The 21,428-nt window shown below is 39.7% G+C and overlaps 1 protein-coding gene across 14 annotated transcripts in view; it reads left to right on the plus strand.

The window, feature by feature from the left end:
• FRMD6 (FERM domain containing 6) overlaps nt 1-21,428 on the plus strand; it is a 334,297-nt gene that overhangs the window by 220,146 nt on the left and 92,723 nt on the right. For 3 of the 14 annotated variants that reach the window (XM_047430926.1, XM_047430933.1, XM_047430927.1), the window contains one exon: nt 4,048-4,150. The exons of the other annotated variants lie outside the window; for them this stretch is intronic. The gene's annotated coding sequence lies outside the window, so the exon portion shown is untranslated. The remainder of the gene's footprint in view (nt 1-4,047; nt 4,151-21,428) is intronic. 14 annotated transcript variants of the gene reach the window in all.

A 21,428-nucleotide genomic window follows, 5' to 3' on the forward strand; every position in this document is an offset into this window, starting at 1 on the left:
CTGGTGAAGGAAGCTGGTTTTGGGGCTGATCCTAAGGTGGGGTTTACTGGCCTGGGGTGGTAAAGAACACAGGCTCAAGGGAACTGAGGCATGAGAGAGGGCTCCAGCCATTTTTATGCATTCTAGGCTGAGCCTGGAAGAAAACAAGACAAGAAGCAGCCCATCCAGTTCCACCATAATCCTATATTTCTGCTAATGGAAGTTCTAATGAACAGGAACATGAGCCAAAAAACAAACTAGTAAACAAGCCACTTGGAGAAGCAAAGGAACCAGATATTCCACCACCTATGTAATTAGCTGAGTAACCTAGAGGTGACTTTGTGTGCATGCTTACTATGAATACGTGTGACATTACATGTCAAGAACTGCATTTTATACACTTCCCTTTTTGAAACTCACCTCATATGCCCATGAAACAAAAAGCCAGTATATGGTTTAAGATGGGTATAGCTTTCCCGTTTGTCATACAAAGCTTCTATTAAAGCATCAGGAGTGCCATGTGGAAGCCCCCTTATTTTCCGTAGGGACAGGCAGTGTTGCTCTTGCTAAGGCAGTGACCTATTATTGAACCGTTTTGCATGTAACACAGTGAGTCATTGTTCTGGCAGAATTCCCTGCTCTCCACACACATTTTTACCTACCTTTGGAATGTGGGAACACTGACCTTGTATATGATAGCCTGGCAAAAAAGTGGCTCTGTCAGAGATTTTACTACTGAACAGCAGGGAGTGGGGGGAAAAAGAAGAAAAGGGAAGAGAGAAGGCAGAGAGAGCAAGGGCTGGAGAGGTAGAGGGAAGACAGGGAATGATGACCAAGAGGAACCAGAAATCATTCTTCCAGATGCAGTGTTGCTCATAATGGAAAACCTGATTGAGAAAAGCTCAGTATGTTAGAATTGCTTGTCAGTGAGATAACGAACATGAATGTGGGCCTATTATGTAACATATATTTAATATGATATATTGCTGCACATATATGTTTGAGACCTTGGGCAAATTACCTAACTAGTTTGTACTTCCATTTCCTTATCTGTAAGAAAAGGATGGTTATAATGCTACCTACCTCGTAGGGTTGTTGAAGGGATTAAATGAGTTAATGTTATTGGAACACTCTTGCATATATTAAGAGAACAATAAATTTTAATCATTATAATTATTATTATTTTCTATGAATTAGTCAGCTCTGAACTCAAGGAACTTAAACCACCTTTCCTAACTTATTTTTCTTCTTTAAACCTGTTTCACTATCTGTAGAAGGGGGATAAAATCATCTGGTCAATATGTACCTTAATTTAGGGGTATTAGAACACTCATGCACTTTAAAATAAAACATGCAATAGATAAATGCATGGCAATAATGATCCATTTACTTGCAAGTGTTTAATGAAAATTTATTATATACCTGCACGGAGCCAGAACATATGTGATATCTGCCCTCATGGAGCTTACAGTCTATGAGTGAAGTTAGGCATTATATATATGGAATTATATATCATATATACTAATGCAGATTGTGGTGAGGGTTTTGAAAGAGAAGAACCAGGTGTTATCTGTGAGAATAACAATTACTTTCTCTGGGTACGCTGCATTACTTGCCTTAGTCTGGGTGTAAAACTTTTTAGAAGACTGACATTTTATTAAGGCCCAAGGATGAAAAGAAACTGGTCAGGGTCTAGGGCAGGGTTCAGAGGAGGGAGAGGAAGGAAATGTTTCAGATCACTTTCAATACCAAAAGAAATCCAAGGCAACTAGAGTGTAGAGAGCCAAGGGAAAAGCGGCAAGAGATCTAGACCTATGTTAAGGAAGTGGAGACAAGAGCACAGCTTGCTCATATTCGTTAAAAGGTCATTCTGGTTGCTTTGAGCAGAACAGACTGGAGAGAAGCAAGTATGGCAGGAGCGAGACCTGTTGCGAGACTACTGATGAGTGGTCCAGCAAAGAAATGATGGTGGCTTGGGAAGCCTGGAGTAAATGGAGTTAGGAGGGAAATAGGCAGAGTCAAAATATATTTTTGAAGTGAAATAACAGGACTTGCTGATAGGTTGAATGTGAAGGCTGAGGGCTGAGAGGTATCAAGAATGACTCCCAGTTTTCCAGCCTCAGGGGTTGGGTAGATGGAGTAGCCCCTGGCTAAAATGAGGAATCTATAGGAGAAACAGGTTTGGGTGGGAAGATGATTACTTGTGATTTGCTTTCAGAATCATTCAATTGAAATGGAAATTATTTTAATCCATTGCATTCAGTAAATTATTATAATACAATTATAAATGTATTTCTATGAAGAATTGACAGTTTCATCTGATGATGAATATATATTATTATATATGATATATTATTTCATATATAATTACATATATTATATATGTAATAATAAAGAAGTCCAGATGATTCTTGGTTTCTATATGTTTAAAGAATTTCAAATAATTTGTTGTAAGACAAAAAATATAATCAATCATTGGGTGATTTAGAATTCCCTTAACTGTGATTTTGGCACTACTTCAAATAATTGCTTTGCACATAACAGAAGTGTTTCATGACATAAGTTTTATACAAAAATGTCCTGGTCTTGATTCAGTAAAGCGCAAGTCTTCTTGTATTTACATGAAAACATGAATATACATAGTATCTATACAGAAGCTGAACAATATGAAGAAACACTTATTTTTAATACATGTACAGGAGGCCAGAGTTCAACAATTGCCCAATGGATACAGTATCACTTACACAAAGACTTCTGTGGATGTCTGTTTATTAAGTTAAATAGCATAGCTGGGCTTTAAGGTATGCAAGAGGAGGAGGATAAAGAAAAAAAAAAAAGAGGAAAGGAAAAGAAGAAGAAAGGTCCTGGCTTTCACCTTTAACGGATCCGAGGTCAGCACGTAAACAAATAGTTACCCTTTGGAAGAGTTGTCATAAATATGACCAAGAAGATTTCTTCCCAAATACCCCATAAAACAAACCTTCCTACATCACCACCTCACAGAAGCTTCCCTGATGACTCTGAAAGTACCAGAGACAGATGAGAAACCGTAGACTACTCCACACTAAGAGCATAAAGGCTTTTTGCTAGTGGACAGTGTATTACTGGAACCTAGGACCCAGCTCTGTCCAGATGTTTAGGGAGTTTTGTGCCTTCTAGCAGCTCGTCCATGGTACTTACCAAAATGAGGTCAGCTACTTTGTATGCTTTTTGGAATATCTGACATATCTCAACAGCTGGATTCCATATGTTTTCTTTAGGGGTATAATATTACTCCATGAGAAAAAAAAGTTAGAAGTTGAAAAGAAAAGATGAACTTGACAATAACAGACAAGGCCTTTCCTTATGACAGCTGTATTCAAGGTGTCGCAGAAGGCAACGGGGTAATTCCCCTGTAGTCTACAGAGCCACCCATACCTTGTTACTTTCAGAGGTGACCAGCAAATAGCGGTGAGATAGGACAAGTTAATTCACCTTTATGAGCCCCAAGTGCCTAGTTTGTAAAATGAGGTGACTAAACTAAAGGTCTATGTGAGATTTCTTCCAGGTCTGTCCTTCTACTACTTTGACTTACCACCCTGGGAATGCTGTGCTCAGGTGCCATGGGAATTGGCTTGACTTGCTCTGTGGAGGCCATCCAAACCTGATTTCCACTTAGTTTGGTCTGTGAATTCTACTTTTAAATTGGCCTGGGAATGTCTCCTCTAGAATTTACAACTGGATGAAAGAAATCCATCAAGGGCAGCTAATTAGCACAAATACAGCTGCCAGCAGTAACTCATGAAGGAAATTCTGTAGGGATGAAGGAAAAAGATTCCGCAAAACCACAAGGAAAGTTCCACTGATTTGGCGCATGGTTGGGGATTGGGCACCAGGATGAAGGGCAGAGGGGTGATGACTGAGTCCTCACCGAGAAAGGTATGATTCCAAAGTGGAAAAGGATAAATGGGCCCCTGTGTCCTTTTATGTAGAACAAAGTTAGACTACACCAGTCAGACGTTTGCTTGGGCCCATTACGACAGTGCTTCCAGAGCTAGAAGCCAAAAACCATCATCTCTTGACCCCTAGGAATGTCACCTTTCCCAAGAAGTCTTGTCCACTCCACCAGCCTTTCTCTGGATGGATGTCTTTGGCTTGTTGAGCAGTGGCAGTCCAGCCCCAGCAGGACCTGGTAAGACATGACAATGCACAGACCCAAACCACTGACACTCCTATGGGCCTCAGCTGTTTCCAAGGGCTCTCACTGCAAGCTGCTATGGGCCAAGGTCCCCAAGCCCTGCTGCAGACATATCATTGGTTACAAGCTGGCACCAGCCTTAGAGTGCTAGGCAGTGCACCACACTTGTCTTCAAGTTCTGATGTTCCCAGAGACAGTTCTCAAGTAGGAAGTAGTAAATTCAGGGAGAAGCATCCAGGCCAGCTGATTTGCCAGAGTTTGCTGATAGAATCAACTTTGTTTGCTGCAGTGGGGCTTTCACATCACTACATTCCAGGGCTGATGTATAATTACCTTAAACACAGAGTGGCATTTAACCACGCCACTGTTTATGTGCCCAAATCAGCACTCAGAGGAAGCTGCCTTTTAAACTTCAATTTTTTTTTTTAATGATACCTTGACATTGCATGTGACTTTGGCTGGGAAAATAAGCCTGGTTGTTTGTGCTTGATGTTATAACTCAAAGGCTCAGAAGTGGTGGAGTTGGATCCAGCAGCCAACCCACAATAGAGCTGTCTTGACATCCTCACTGGTCCAGCCATGCAAACCAGCTTCTCGTGGGGATGGAGCTTTTCGGCTTAGCTTTTCTGCCTTTCTCTTATAGTGATGAACTGACACAGTGTGACCACCAAGGGCAAGTTATTGCCCAGATATACTTCCTTAGCTCCACCATCACATTCAGATGCAATCAGCAACCCAAGGACAGGTAGCCAGAAGATCTTTTTAACTAGGCCTGAATGTCCTGCTGTTCCACCCTGTAGGTTGTTCGAGAAGATGGGTGGATCTTCATGAAAGCATAACAGAGAGGACAACATTTACTGGATTAGATGGTATTGCTTACAGATTCTTGCATCTCTAAATGACAGGTGCTGTACACACCAACGACTAATTTTTTTTAAGTCTAATTTATATGATACCAACACAATACCTTTAAAGAAGACAGAAAAACACAACAGAACAGAACCTTCCTTGCAACCCACTGTAAGTAGGTCAATGTGATTACCCCTACTTTAAGATTGAGAAACAGATTCTACCAGACCCAGCTGGGTCAGAAAGCCAGTGAGGGTACTAAAATTATAACTGAAACTCCCCATCTGGCCCCAGCTTGTGTGGTCACAGAGGGGACCAGCATAAATAGGTGACCATATCATTTATCATGCAAACAAGGACTGTTTTTAGAAAGGGAATTATTAAAATGTAGACAAGAGCAACAGGCATAACCCGAGACTGTTCTGGCAAACCAGGACTTTTATCCAAGCTATCTTCCTGCAGCCTTCATCAGTGATACCACATCTGGGTGAAGGAGGAAGCTGATGGAGTCTAAGCTTCAGGTCCCTCACTTGCACAGATCCCTGTGAGTGCTGGGAGTGGCTAAGACTTGTAGGATGTTGTCTGTGCAGAACAAAAGCCAGATTCCAATAAGGAAGTGTTTCTATGTAAGAACATCTTGTAACTCAGCTAAAGATATTTTAGGAGTCCCAAATTTCCAATCCTTCAGCAACCTGTTGTGATTTCTTTCCTTGCTCTAAATAATTATTCATTTTTATACCTAATTTTGCATATATAATTTGCACGAACAGGGTGCAAATCAGGCTATTTCTGACCCTCACTATATTTATACCAGTGAAATTAGGATAAAATGGTCACTAAAGGTAGCTCTAGAGAAGGAGCTGAGGGTCACCTATAAAAGAAGTGAGGCAGAAGCAGTCCTGACTCCTAGTCCTTGGTTATAGGAGGAACTAAAGAAGAAAAAGGTTCATTGTATGTTTGTGAGCTTCAAGTTCTTTCATAGTACCAACTGGTAGAGTTATTTCCTGCCCTAGAGCTTCACTCGGAGTCAATCCCTAACCAACCCCCAACACACATACAGAGTGCCTGCTGAAGTCAGATTCCAGAGCATTTACTCTTATTCCTAGTATCCTAAAGATTCATCCCAAACCAAGCTTTTGGGAGTCCTTCAATCTAATTCTTTCTCTGCACTGACGCATTGTGTGGCTTTGTTTTTGTTTTTTGAGACAGGGTCTTACACTGTCACCCAGGCTAGAGTGCAGTGGCACAGTCTTGGCTCACTGCAGCTTCAATCTTCAGGACTCAAGCGATCGTCCCATCTCAGCCTCCTAAATAGCTGGGACTACAGGCAGGCATCATCAAGCTCGGCTAATTTTTTAAAAGATTTTTTGTAGAGATGGGGTCTTGCCGTGTTTCCCAGACTGGTCTCGAACTCCTAGGCTCAAGTGATTACAGGCTTGTGCCACCATGCCCAGTCATGGCTTCGTCATTTGTCATAAGATCCTCTGTTTTCTTGGATGTACAATAAAAACAAATAATACTTGCTCCTCCAAAAAAAATAAGAGATCTAATTTTAGAATCAACTGGCCTCTGCACACACGTTAGAGCAACACCTTAGGTATATGGAATGTGAGAAAGGAATAGGTGGTTGTTAAAACAAAACAAAATAAAAATAATCTTGGTGGAATTCTTGATCATATGTTAAGAAATGAAATGAGATTATCGCATTGGAGAATCTCCTCCTCAATGAGTTTTACATTTTGAACCAGCCTGTCATTATATTTCCTGACTGGTAATCAAAGAAGTGGCCTTTAAAATGGGATCCTGAATGCCACAGATCCAAATGATTAGATTATGAAACCTAGACCTCTGGTTGGTCACTCTGAAAGCTGTAATTCTGCAAATTACTCAGCTGTCTTCCAGGTCTGTTACCTTTCATATTTTTGAAAGGACACACAGATTTTCTCATGCTTCTCTGTGTTTGGACATGCTGTTTCTCCAAGTAGAAAGCCACTTTACATCTCAACCTGGATGGCTCCTCATCATCCTTCAAAGTTTTCCCAGATATCACAGTTTCCTGGAAGACCTTTCTAACCACTGCTGCCCCCCTCTCACCATTCACGCCTTGTTCCATTAGCACTATTGGTATCACAGTACTCTACCATGTGTTAGTGAGTTTTATTGGCCCATCTCCCACCACTCAACTATGAACAATCTGAGTGTAAAGCTTGTGTTTACTATAGTTGTAGTAGACATTCAATACATGTTGAATAAATTGAAGAAATGAATGAAAGCAAAAAGATGCTGTATGTCAATTATAAGGCAAGAACTGTGGTTTAGTAGCCCTGGAAATAGAGTCAAAGAATTTTCTGTGAATGTGGTACATATACATGGAATACTATGCAGCCGTAAAAAGGAAAAAGATCATGTCCTTTGCAGGGACATGGATGGATCTGGAGGTCGTCATCCTTAGCAAACTAATGCAGGAACAGAACACCAAATACCGCATGTTCTCACTTACAATTGGGAGATAAATAATGAGAACACATGGACACACACGGGGAACAACACACTGGGGCCTACCAGAGGGCAGGGGATGGGAGGAGGGAGAGGATCAGTAAAAATAATTAATGGATACTAGGCTTAATACCTGCTGGGTGGAAAAATCTGCAAAATGAACCCCCTTTACAAATGCTTACCTATGTAACAAACCTTCACATCCAGCACATGTACCCCTGAACTTAAAAGTTAAAATAAATAAAATTGCAGAGAATTTTATCTGAAACTTACCCTGTTGTTTCCTAGCTTAGACACTGTAGCCCAAACTGGGAACAACATGTGAAAAGTACTATTCAAAAATTAGATAAAGGCAGATTCCAAGGGTCTGGGCAATCCTGAGTGAAATATTAAAAGGATAAATTGCACTCTTCAATTTCTGAACTATCCCCTTCTTTCTTCCTGGCTTTTAATACTGCTGACTTCCTAAAAACAAGATGAATGTGTAGGGTGCATGGTATGAGCGTGTGATCTCATTGTGGAATTTCTATATCTAGCCCATTGCTATCTTTTATAAAATGGCCTCTGTAAGGCTCTGCTTAGCGAGTGGACAAGAGTGTCATCTGGAGCTCCTTCATTTCTGGCCCCTGAAGCTCAGAGGGATGTTTTTCACTTACCCTTCTAAACTGCAGCGCTGAGATAGCTAAACACCAGCACCAAATTTTTTATGCTCAGCAAGTTAGTAAAATGAGTTTTCTTAAGTCCAAATCAGAGCTGAGAGAGGTTGGAAAAATGTGTCTGGAAGAGTAACTTGCCTGCTTAAAACTCACTAAAATAACTGTTCACCCCAATCTTGTACAAATTAAAAAACTGTGTAATTAAACACCCTGGGAAAATGTCAAGTTGTCCAGGTAGAAGAAAAATTGTAATGATAATGAAAGTTATATTGTATCTAGAAACCATACTTGAAGACTGCACAGTTAACACTCTGTTTCCTATTATGCTAAAAGGTGGCAAAATTATCATAATTTCAAAACAACATAATTTACTGCCCACTTTGTCTTCAGCATAGTATGAGCCAGAAGGGAGTGAAACAGGGCAGTTTGGGGGCACCTTCATGACCTAAATCTCCATTTTGAATACTTGGCATATTACTTCCAGCAATCTGCATATTTAGAATGGGATGAATTTGTGTGTGTGTTGGAGGTGGTAGTGGTGTTGGAGGAGGTGGTGGTTATATATTTTTCTTACTTAGCAGAAACTAATTCAGAAGAGGTCCGATAATTTCTACTGTTGCATTTTCAGAAAATAGATGATGAAACTGAAAACAGAACCCAGGAATAAATTCAGATTTCTAAGCCTATATTTGTCCCATGGCCCTTTTGGGATTCCCCTTATCTTTTTTTTTTGTTGTTGTTGTTAATGATGGTGAAAAAAACAGACATATTTCTACCCACAGCAGGAAGCAGTACCTGGATAACTTTTCCCTGGACCCTGACTGGAACTGATTTTTGTTAGTATCACAGTGAGCTGCTGTAAGATAAATTGATAGAGCCTTCAAATCTTTCTGCTCCCGAGCACAAACCCCATCATTCTAACCAGGTCCTCATTGATCTCTGATCCAACACGCTCATTCCAAGCTGGAGGTCTTTGTAGAATGTTCTTCCCTCTCTTCTCTGCTTATCCAAACCTTGCCTTATTTTAGGTCCACCTAGATCTCACATCATTTGAGGAAGCTTTCCCTATTCTCCTCAGCTCATGTTAACTGTGCCCCTCTCTAGATTCCCCTAGCATTTACTGTCTGAATCATTCTTTTTAGAACTTAGTACTCCACCACGTGTTAGGGAGTTTTATTGACCTGTCTGTCTCCCCCGACCAGACTATGAATAATCTAAGTGTAAAGCTTGTGTTTACTATAGTTGTAGTAGACGCTCAATAAATGTTGAATAAATTGAACAAATGAATGAAAGTAAGAAGATGCTGTATGTCAATTGTAAGGCAAGAACTGTGGTTTAGTGGCCCTGGAAATAGAGTCATAGAATTTTCTATGAAGGTGGTACATACACACCATAGAATACTATGCAGCCATAAAAGGAACACGACCACATCCTTTGCAGGGACATGGATGGAGCTGGAGGCCATGATCCATAGCAAACTATTCCATTCTCCTTTTCTCTTTACTGAATTTTGAGATCCAGAAGAACAAGGTCCATGTCTTATTTTGGAGGGGTTGTCATTTCCTAGGTTCCAGCTAGGCATTAAATAGGCAAGATAAATATTTGTTCAAGAAGCCAAAAAGTCATCTAATTCTTGGTGGTACTCCAAGGTTTGATGAAGAGCATGATAGCATGAGGGAAAGCACGTGGATTTTGAGTCAGACAGAATTTTCTAGTTTCCCTTGGCCCCAGTTATGTTTTTTGTTTTCTGCTCTTTTTTCTTGTAAATAGGAATAAGAATACCTACTTTGCCACGTTATCAGGGTTAAAAATAATAAATGTGAAATCCCAAATACAGTGCCTTCTATATAGCAGGCTCTCAATAAACAGAAGTTGCTATTTAACTAAGGGTGAGCATTTTTGAAGAATATTTATTATCATGAGGTCTAGTTAGACCCATGGAGTAGGGATTGAGGACACTGGGTTTGGAGTCTGAAAGACCTGGGCTTGAATCCTGGCTGTGCTACTTATCAACTGCCACTTTGAACAGAGACCTCTTTACGTCTTTTCTCATCTACAAAATAGAGATAACTATTGTACCTACTTCAGAGTCATTGTGAAGATTAAATAAGGTGTCTGGAACATCACAAGTACTCAATAATTATTAGCTATAATTTGTAAAGTACAATAAGCTTCAGGGAAAAAAGAAATCTATGTAATTCTAACTCCAAATTATTCAACTGGCAGATAGGCCTGAGAGAGCATTTGCAGTTTTAAGGAGGTTTTAAAACTACTTTCACTTTTAAAATGTACCACATGCCTAATGATCTGATATTTAGTCGATTCACACAATTTCTGATTTTTTTATATGCCTTTAGAACTGCAACCACCACTATTACAAGTGTATTATATTTATCTGCATGAGATAGTGAATTCTCCCTCTTTATAATCTTATTCTGATGTACTGTGACTGGATGAAGTTGAAAGGGAGCATGATTAAAATATCAAGCCCTGCACTAGCCAAACTTCCCTATTCTTTGAGATCCTAAACCACACTTATTTTCTTCAATAACATAAATTGCAAATTGATAATCTCAACTTCTTATGTATGTTTGTGGATGAGATTAGAAAGGCATTTTATAAGTGACTGAAAAATAATGATTGAAAGATAAGGTTTTCCTTGGCTTGAAATGTTGCATATAGGGATTATGCCATGTCAGAAGAAGGTCTAGCCAGAGAGGACACCCTGGTGTACAGGTGACTGAGGGACCAAGAGATGAAGCAGCACAGCCCAGAGGAGACCAGAAATCAACACAAAACAGGAGTGGGAGAGCACTGGGCAGAGATAGGCTGCTGGGCCAAGACAGGAAATGGCAGAATGGACATATTGGGTGCTGGTTCTTGAAAGATCAAACAAAGCAAGCACACTCCATTTCCATTCCTGATGCTTGAGAACAGAAGCAGCTTCTGGCCTGTGATCATCTCCCTGTGCTCTCTCTTTGGCTCTCCTGTTACCCGACCTGCTTCTCCCCTTCACTCACTGCTCCATGCCTTACCCAATTAGAAAGTTGGAGCACTGGGGATGTTTACCATCAGAGTCACAGGACAGTGAATAGTCATCCCTCCATATCCTTGGGGGATTGGTTCCAGGCTCTCCCCTCTCTCCTGCAACTGCAGATCCACCGGTGCTCAAGTTCCTGATATAAAATGGTATAGCATTTACGTGTAACCTACACACATCTTCCTCATATATTTTCAATCATCACTAGATTACTCATAATACTTAATAAAGCATAAATGTTATGTAAGTAGTTCTTAAACTACATTGTTTAGGAAATAATGACAAGGAAAAAAGTCTACATGTTCAGTATAGATGCAATTTTTTTTCCAAACATTTTTCATCTGTAGTAAGTTGAATCCACAGATGCAGAATCCATGCATATGGAGATCTCACTGTATTTGAGCTAAAAAAACAGATATGTGCCTATTTCTAAGAGTACAATCTATGATATTCTCCAGTCTCTGAATGCTACTTTTAATATGAAGATCACTTTATGAATTATATAACAATAAATATTCTTTAACAACTTGAGGTATAATTGACATACTATAAAATTTATCCATCTTACATGTATAATTTAATGACTTTTTAGTACCCTTTTAGAGTTGTGTAATGATCACCACAATCCAGTTTGAGAACATTTCCAACATTCCCAAAATAACTCTCATGCCTGTTTCAATCAATCCCCATTCCAATCCCCAGCCAACCATTAATGTACTTTCTGTCTCTATAGATTTTAAATTTAAATGGCTTGGATGTGATGGCTCACGTCTATAATCCTGTAATCCCAGCACTTTGGGAGGCCAAGGTGGACAGATCACTTGAGGCCAGGAGTTCAAGACCAGCCAGGCCAACATGGTGAAATGCCATCTCTACTAAAAGTACAAAAATTAGCTGGGCATGGTGGCATGCCCATGCTCGGGTGGCTGAGGCAGCAGAATCACTTGAACCCAGGTGGCAGAGGTTGCAGTGAGCCGAGATCATGCCACTCCACTCCAGCCTGGGTGACAGAGCAAGACTCTGTCTCAAAAAAAAAAAAAAAAAAAAAAAAGGCAACATACACATACACTATGCCTTTTGCATCTACCTTTTTCTTTTCTTTTCTTTTTTTTTTTTTTTTTGAGACGGAGTCTCGCTCCGTTTTCCAGGCTGGAGTGCAGTGACGCAATCTCGGCTCACTGCAAGCTCCGCCTCCCGGGTTCACGCCATTCTCCTGCCTCAGCCTCCCGAGTAGCTGGGACTACAGACGCCCGCCACCACGCCCGGCTAATTTTTTGTATTTTTAGTAGAGACGGGGTTTCACCGTGTTAGCCAGGATGGTCTCGATTTCCTCCTGATCTTGTGATCCGCCCGCCTCGCCCTCCCAAAGTGCTGGGATTACAGGCGTGAGCCACCGCGCCCAGCCACATCTCCCTTTTTCACTTGGCATAACGGTTTTGAAGTTCATCCACGTTGTTGCACATATCAATAGTTTGTTCCTTTTTACTGCTGAACAGTCCATGCACCAATTGAAGGACATTTGTTTCCAACTGCTATTATGAATAATGCTGCTATGAACATTCACATACATGTCTTGGTGCCAATGTATGTTTCATTTCTGTTGGGTAATTCCTAAGAGCAAAATTCCTAGGTAATATTGTAGGTCTAACTTTTTAAGAAACTACCAAATTGTCTTCTAAAATAAAATATATTTTACATTCCTACCAGCAGTGTATGGGGGTTCCAGTTGTTCCACATCCTTGTCAACACTTCTTATTGTCTGTCTCTTTAATTATACTCATTAAATGGGAACATAAGCATTCTACGGTGACTAGAGTCTACTTTTCAATTTGTAACAGACCCTTTGATGTCTTTAGAAGCAGAAAGGGATGCTTAGTTTCTTGTGTTAGTTAAATAATTATAATAAATAAAAAAGAAACCTGGCACTTGATATGGGCAGGCACCCAGGCTCTGTGCTGACTAGCAGTTTTCTTTCAGCCAGCTGGCCAGTTGCTACTAGTTAGTGATATGTAACCTGGTAAAGCCACATAATTGCTTCAAGCCTCAGTTTTTTTCATCTATAAAATAAGAACACTGGATTAAATTATCTATATGTTTCCTTCCAGCTCTAAAACAAGGAGTCAATTCTGATTATTCTTCTCCCAGAGGCTACTGGTTGTTAAGCTGCTGTTGCTGCTTTCTTTTTTTCAAATGAGACAGGGCCTTGCTATGTTGCTTAGGCTGGTCTCGAACTCCTGAGCTCAAACTTCTCCTCTGCTCCAGCATATTGAAGTAGATTCCTTTAGTTATCTAAGCCTCTCATGGCCTATGATATTATTTCAAAGAAAAACCAGCAAAATCAAGAAAGCCTTTATTCTTTATTTTCTTCTCAAAATGATGGGATTGGCTACTAAGTTATATTTGCAGAGGAAAAGAGAGGAAAGCAAAGAACCCAACATTTGTTGACTGCCCATATACTAGATATGAAATAAACATTTTCATAGTTTTAATATCATAAAACTCATAATCCCTGAGATAGTTCTATAATCGTCATTTTACAGGTAAAGAAGCACAGGCACAGAGTGTAGGCAAATTGCATAATGTTACACAGATAGTGAGTGAAGCTGGGATTCAAGCCCATGTCATCTAGTTCGAAGTTGGATTTTATTTCATTATGCCAACTGAGAATTAAAAAAACAAAGAAGAAACATTTTAGGTTGAGTGCAGTGGCTCATGCCTGAAATGCCAGCACTTTGGGAAGCCAAAGTCAGGGGACTGCTTGAGGCCAGGCATTTGAGACCAGCCTGGGCAAAAAAGACCCTGTCTCCACAAGAAAATAAAAAAAGTAGCCAGGCATGGTGGCATGCGCCTGTAGTCCCAGCTACTTGGGAGGCTGAGGTGGGAGGATCATTTGAGCCCAGGAGGTCAAGGCTGCAGTCAGCCATGACTGCACCACTGCACTCCAGCCTAGGTGCAAAATGAGATCCTGTCTCTAAAAAAATACATAAATAAATAAGCCTTAATGAGCAGGTGGAAGAAAGTGCATGTAAATGTCAACTAATGAGAAAATGTAACAATGGGATTTTACAATGGCCAATTATTACACCTAAATTATACAGCCAACAATTATCTTGTAGTACAAGGCTTCCACTCATTTCCACACTCTGCTGCCATATGTATATGCATACTTCAAACCCTGAGGACCAAGAGTCAAATTGGCAGTTTCAGAAGGAATGTAGAGGAGTGGGATTCCTGCTTATTGAAAAGGCATTTTAATTTTCTCCCACCAAGAAAGGATTGCTCATTCTGAGTACTTGCCCAGATAGTGCAGAGAAAATCCACAGAGACAGTTTTGCTACCCAAGGTGAGAAACTGAGAAGTTCCAGAATTAAACTGGTACATTTTTTGAGTAATAGTTCTGCTTCTCTTGGGTAAGACGAATCTTTACTGATGTCATTGCCACCCACCACCACCTGGTATCTCTGCATGGTGGAAGCCAGAGCAATATATAGAAGGAACGGAGCACTTACAAGAAGTTACAGGGCACTTGGAGGAATTCTCTCAAAGAAACACATTCACAGATTCCACAGTGAATGCCTCCTTAATCTCTGTCTTTAGGAACATTTGATTTATGTGTCTCACACTCCATTTTTTTTGGTAAATGTTTATATGGTCATCGAAAGAGGAAAAAGTAATACTTTTTATCTTTAGAATGTCTACTTTCATTAGTTCTGTTCCTTCTAGAATCAAGCTAAGGAAGCTAAGGGTTGTTCATGCTTAGGTAGAGAAGGTGGTAAAAGGGACAGAGAATGGGAGGTGCAAATACGAATAATATGCTGTGAAATCACTTTTTCTCTTTACCATTGTCAGCACAGCTTCTGGTAATTGGGGATTATTTGAATTTTTAACAACTCAAATAAGACTCAAGTAAGATTTTAAGTCTTCAAATTTTAGGGCTTTAAATGCAATCCTAACTCTGGCAGTAGATTTTACTCAGCTCGTATCATGTATTTAATATCAGTTATCTTTGAATGGGAATAAAAATACTAGTTAACACCACAGGGTCTAAGAGTGAGAGTGAAAATTAGCAAAAGTGACTACATGGTGTTTTGTCGCAACAAATTCTGATTGGTGTCCCTAAGAAAAGCAGTAATAACATTAGCATAGATCGATGTTCTTCCCAAACTATGCTCCAAGTGATATGATTTGGCTGTGTCCCCACCCAAATCTCATCTTGAATTGTAGTTCCCATAATCTCCACATGTGGAGGGAGGGACCTGGTGGGAGGAAATAGAATCACAGAGGTGGTTTCCCTCACACTATTCTTGTGCTAGTGAGTTCTCAAGAGATCTGATGGTTTTATCCCCCTTTGCTTGGTTCTCATGCTTCTCCTTTCTGCCACCCTGTGAAGAAGGATGTGTTTGCTTCCCCTTCTGCCATGATTCTAAGTTTCCTGAGGCCTCCCCAGCCATGCTGAACTTTGAGTTAATTAGACCTCTTTCCTTTATAAATTACCCAGTCTTGGGAACATCCTTATAGCAGCGTGAGAATGAAGTAATACACAAGAGATATTAATTAAGGTGATCTGCTGGGGACAGAACACAACTCCATAATAAAATACGCTTAGGAAACACGAGTAAAATTTCTTTGTGGAACTCCAAAGAGTCTTTAATACAGTATATTCAATGTGCATTATGAGCCTCCAAAAGAGAGATGCTGTGTGTTGTACCACTTGAGCTGCTTGAAAAGAAAAACTTAATCTCAGAAATCTTTTTTAAAACATTTTGGGGAAAGATGGCCCAGAAAAGGCATAGTTCCTTTAGAAGGATGGTTTCCTGGCTATCTGCAGTTCTCTCCATCTCACCCCTCTCCATCTCACACCCATCCTGTCTTTCTAAGATCTCCAAAAAGAATGTGGTCTGATAAATCCATAGAGGATGGAAATATATTGAAAGAAGAATGTCCATGGCCCTTTCTTTCTACATCTGAATTGTCTTAGAGAAGCCTAGAGGGCCAGCCTGATTGAGACACTGGTTAATGGCAGTTTCAGGTAAAAGGGGAATTCTTCTTTAAAAAACAAAACTAACTTGCACAATAACTAAAGGGAAGGCATGGAACTTGTTTGGACCTGAATTCCAACAAGCCAACTGTAAGATGACATTTTGGGGACATGGAAATTTTAAATGCTAAGAAATTATTATTAAATTTGTTAGGTGTGATTATGGTATCTGGTTATATAACAAAATGGCATTTTTAAGAGGCAAACTCATGCATTTCGTGTAAAATATCAAGATGTCTAGAATTTGCTTTAAAATATCTAAAAAAATAGATGTAGCAAATAAAGCAAATGTTAATAACTGTTCAATCTAATGGGATATGTGAGGATTTTTTTTAACAAGTCTTTTTATAGTTTCAAATTTTACATGATGAAAAGTTTTTTAAATACAGATTTCTTAGCCCCAAATCTACCAAATCAAACTCTCTGGAGATTAAGCCTAGGAGTTTGTTATTATTTACCTCCTCTTTTTTTTTTTTATTTTTTAAAATCATATTATCAGGGTTTTTTTGGCTGGGTGCGGTAGCTCATGCCTGTAGTCCCAGCACTTTGGGAGGCCCAGGTGGGCAAATCTCTTGAGCCCAGGAGTTCAAGACCAGCCTGGGCAGCATGGTGAAACCCTGTCTCTACAAAAAATGCAAAAATTAGTTGGGCATGGTGACTCATGCCTGTGGTCCCAGCTCTTGAAAGGCTGAGAAACGAGGATCACCTGAGCCCAGGAGGTGGAGACTGCAGTGAGCTAAGATCATGCCACTGCACTCCAGCTTGAGCAACAGAACAAGACCCTGTCAAAAAAAAAAAAAAAAAAAAAAAGAAATAATTATATGTCATAGTTTAAGGTAACCATAAAATTGTAATAAAAAGCAGTGTTTTGTTTTAGAAACAAGATATTTTCAAGAAAAGAATACAAATAATAACTCTAATCAATTTCTAACATGTATACCCAAATATAAGTTCCTTAGAGTGGAACTGTTTGTGATTAGCATAATAAAGTTACGTACAATACTTCACATACTAAATTACTATCAAATTTCAGCAGTGACAATTTGATGTATCTTTTAAATAATGCAGCGATTAACACAGAAATTCAGTACATGCAGAATCCATGCTATTAATCCATTTCTTCGGTACTTTCAAAAATCTGAATCATATTTTTAAAATGTGATGGCAGGTTTACAGAACATGCCTGTGCATCATGCATGTAGTTCAGACAGTCTGCAAAAAGCAGATCAACGACATGATTAGCCATGTCCTAAGATACAACGTCCACAAATATGGATTTGTGAACTATCTTTTTTCTACATTGAAATGACTATATAACTACATCTTCATACACTGAAGTGTATATAATTGTTTTTTTAAGTGCTTGTCTGTTATCACCTAAAATCATGTGGCATACAATAAGTAGTACTCTTATTACACGTTGGGAGATAGTAACCTAATTTAAGACCAGCAAGAATACATCAGATTCTTTGCTAATAGGGAAGGAAGGAAAAAATTATTCCTCAAGGGAAAGAACTTTGCCATATTTGTATGACTTGTACCTAGCACAGTGTCTAAAATAGGCATGCAATACATGTCTGCGTGAATTAATGAATGAATGCTTATCCTCTCTCCGAATTATCTCTATCCCCTATTCCCAAAACCAATTATTTGTTAAGATGAAGGCTTTGATGAAAGCTCTTAGTCCATGAAAATTAAATTGCTGAGTCTGACCCCTTTGTAGGAAATGTAAAATCATGAAATTCAAGTACTCTTGGGAAATCCAAACAAATTTTCATTTACCAATGTCTATAAAAAAGGAAAAAAAAAAGATAAATTTACTAAAATACATAAATGTTAGCTTTTGACATTTTTTAAAACACTGGAAAAGGAAATAGAAAATTCCCTCTCACAAATTTGGAGGCAGCCTAGTTAGTATAACTTCGAGAATGCAGTCAGAAAGGCCAGGCTTGAACTCTGGCCCTGCCACTAGTTAGTGATATGTACCCTGGTAAAGCCACATAACTGCTTCAAGCTTCAGTTTTTTCATCTATAAAATGAAAACGTTAGATTAAATTATCTATATATTTTTTCCAGGTCTAAAATAGAGTCAATTTTCTGGTTATTCTTCTACCAGAGGCTACTGACCGGTGCTTGGTTGTTAAGCTGCTGCTTTTTTTCTTTTTTTCAAATGAGACAGGGTCTCAGTATATTGCCCAGGCTGGTCCCGAACTCCTGGGCTCCAGTGGTCCTCCTGCCTCAGCCTCCCGAGTAAGGCTTCAACTTCTTTACCAGTATTAAGCAGGCAGAGACCTGGTACTGTGGTTCACACCTGTAATTCCAGCACTTTGGGAGGCTGAGGTACAGAGGTCAGTTGAGGCCAGGAGTTTGAGAACAGCCTGGGAAACACAGTGAGACTCCATCTTCAATTCAATTCAAATAAATAAATAAGCAAGCAAGCTGGGCATATTAGCGTGTGCCTGTGATCCCAGCCACTCTGGAGACTGAGGCAAGAGGATCGTTTGACCTAGGAGTTTAAGTCTGCAGTAAGCTATGATTGTGGCACTGCACTGCACTCCAGCAGGACCCTATCTTTTTAAAACAAAACAAAACAAAAAGGAGGCAGAGTCTAGCTGTGTGCTTTTCAGGGACCCAATGCCATTCTGAATTACAGGAGCCCAAGTACTGGCAAACACAATCTTCAGCATATCAGTAAAAGCCCTTGGTTATCCAATTTTTTAAAAAGTAGATTTAGAAAATAATTTTAAGTGCTCTCATTTAGTTTAACGTTTTAAGTAAATTTTACCATAAGGCAGATTATTTAGCTTTTGAGAACACATTCTCTGCAGTCAGACTGGGTTGAAATCTAGCTTTAGAACTCAGGACAAAGGACTTCTGTGTGTCTCCTATTACCTCATATTTTTAAAAGTGATAAATAAATAATGCCATCTGCTTCACAGATTTGTTGGGAGGTAGAATAAAAAAATACTTGCAAAGTACTCTCTTAAGTAGAATACCTGACATGTAGTAATCACTCAGTAAAGCAGCTATAATTTATCTTTTCCATCGAGGCTTTATGTAGAAAAACACTCCTATTTTCCTGCTAAAGAACACAATAAAACAATCCCGTAGTGTACACCTAGCTCTTTACTCCGTCCTATATATGCTCACATTTGCAGCATGAGTGAGTTATGCAGTGGACAGGTCTATACAAACCTACTCCCAAAGTCCGAGAAAGCGGAAGGCAAAGAAAGAGGCTGACAAATTCAGTTTCTTAGGGAGAAACATTTAATAGGGACTTAGGAGCAGAAGTTGCGTCTGTGTCTTGGGCCTCAGGTGGTGGTGAGACAAGATGGTGGATCCCCGCCCCATTACTCCCCGGAGCCAGGGTTTATATAGGGAAAGGGTATGCATGATTCAGATGGGATGTGAAGGACAATTGAGGTTTGATAACATCAAGGTTGTTTTGACCTAAGGGCAGGATTTAAACAAATTACAAAAGATAAACTGGAAATCTTAGAGTCCTTCCCAGAAAAGGTTTAGTCATTAGTCAACATGGCAGATTAGCATCCAATGGAGTTGCTTTAGCCTTTGTGAGGAAAGCTGGTGGAGATCACTGCCTGACTGTTGGTCCATATTCCTGCCGTAAAGTTCTATTCCTTTCTGCCAATAACTAAATTGCGCTGGCTGGGCAGCTGGAGGAAAGGAGCCCTGTGAAATGCTGACTTGTGTTGAAGATGGCTCAGGAAGTCCCTGGACTCCCTAGCCTCCTCCTGTTTTTGTGAGGCAAATGAGATAATGCTGGTGGATTAAAAACTATAAAATGCTGTCCAAGTGTTAGTTATCATATGAAAGGTTAAATTTGATGATAAAGTTTAGAGGGGAAAAGGCCAGAATGTGGGATGTGACCCCTTAAAGGTCTTCGTTGTTACAAGGTAAGGTGCTTGTTTCCCCGGGGCCACGGAGTTGTTGTTTATAGGTCCCCATTAAGCACTGTGAGAGGGGTGACGTGAGGGGAGAAGCAGGGAGCCCCTTTCCCAAGAGGGCTAAGAAAGAAAAGTAAGGGTGAGGCCACTGTAGAGAAAAAAGACCAGATTCATTCTGAAACATTTTCTCACATTAATAAACATTTTAAGTAAATAGTAATTGTAGGCTGGGCACAGTGGCTCATGCCTGTAATCCCAGCACTTTGGGAGGTTGAGGTGGGAGGATGGCTTAAGCCCAGGAGTTTGAGACCAGTCTGGGCAACACAGGGAGACCCTGTCTCTACAAATAATAATAATTAGCTGGGCATGGTGGTGTACACCTATAGTTCCAACTACGTGGGAGGCTGAAGTGGGAGGATTGCTTGAGCCTGGGAGGTCAAGGCTGCAGTGAGTTGTAATCCTGCCACTGCACTCCAGCCTGGGTGACGGAGCGTGACCCTGTCTCAAAAAAGAGAAAAAAACTGCATTTCACATTTAAAAAATAAATCTTCATTTTTCTTTAAAATAATTGGCAGAAAATTCTACCTAAGGAAAGGAAGAAACATTTTGAATAAAAACCATTACATCAAAATCCTTGAAAAATTGATTTTATTCTGTAATTGATTTATGTGCTCCCATATTTAGTATGTAAATAATGTCAAATATATGTCATTCTTTTATTTTAGGATCACATTGTTGATACACACAGGCACACACACACACACACACACACACACACACACACATATATTTGGAAGTAAGAAGCATGCTACCACTGGCTAGGAATAGTTGGGGGAGGGGGTAGGAAACTGACCTAGAGCAAATGGCATCTTATCAGCGCAGATACAATTAGCAACATTTTACTGTACCACACATACTTGCAATGCAGTGTATCTAAAAACAAACTTAAAGGAAATGGAGAACAGAAAAACATTTTCCCCAGTTAATTTCTATAAGTCACAAGAAGGATTTCATTATAAAGTAGGAATTACAAACAGTAGGGGCAAAAAAGTAAGGAATAAAGATTAAATTCACAAAACAAGTTGGTATCTTTACCTTTTCATGACTGTGATCCATAAATCCAACTAAATCAGTTTTTTCAAGTCCATTCCAATTTAACTCATCTTCTCTGGATCCCCCTAAAAGATTTTAATGGCTGGCTTGTCTCGAAACTCAGGGACATTTATTTGTGAGTTCTCCAAGATGCTGAGTAAGACGGCAATCTTTAAGAAATAAAGTCTGCCAAGCG

Source organism: Homo sapiens, chromosome 14, assembly GCF_000001405.40.
Source record: "Homo sapiens chromosome 14, GRCh38.p14 Primary Assembly".
Classification (NCBI taxonomy): domain Eukaryota; kingdom Metazoa; phylum Chordata; class Mammalia; order Primates; family Hominidae; genus Homo; species Homo sapiens.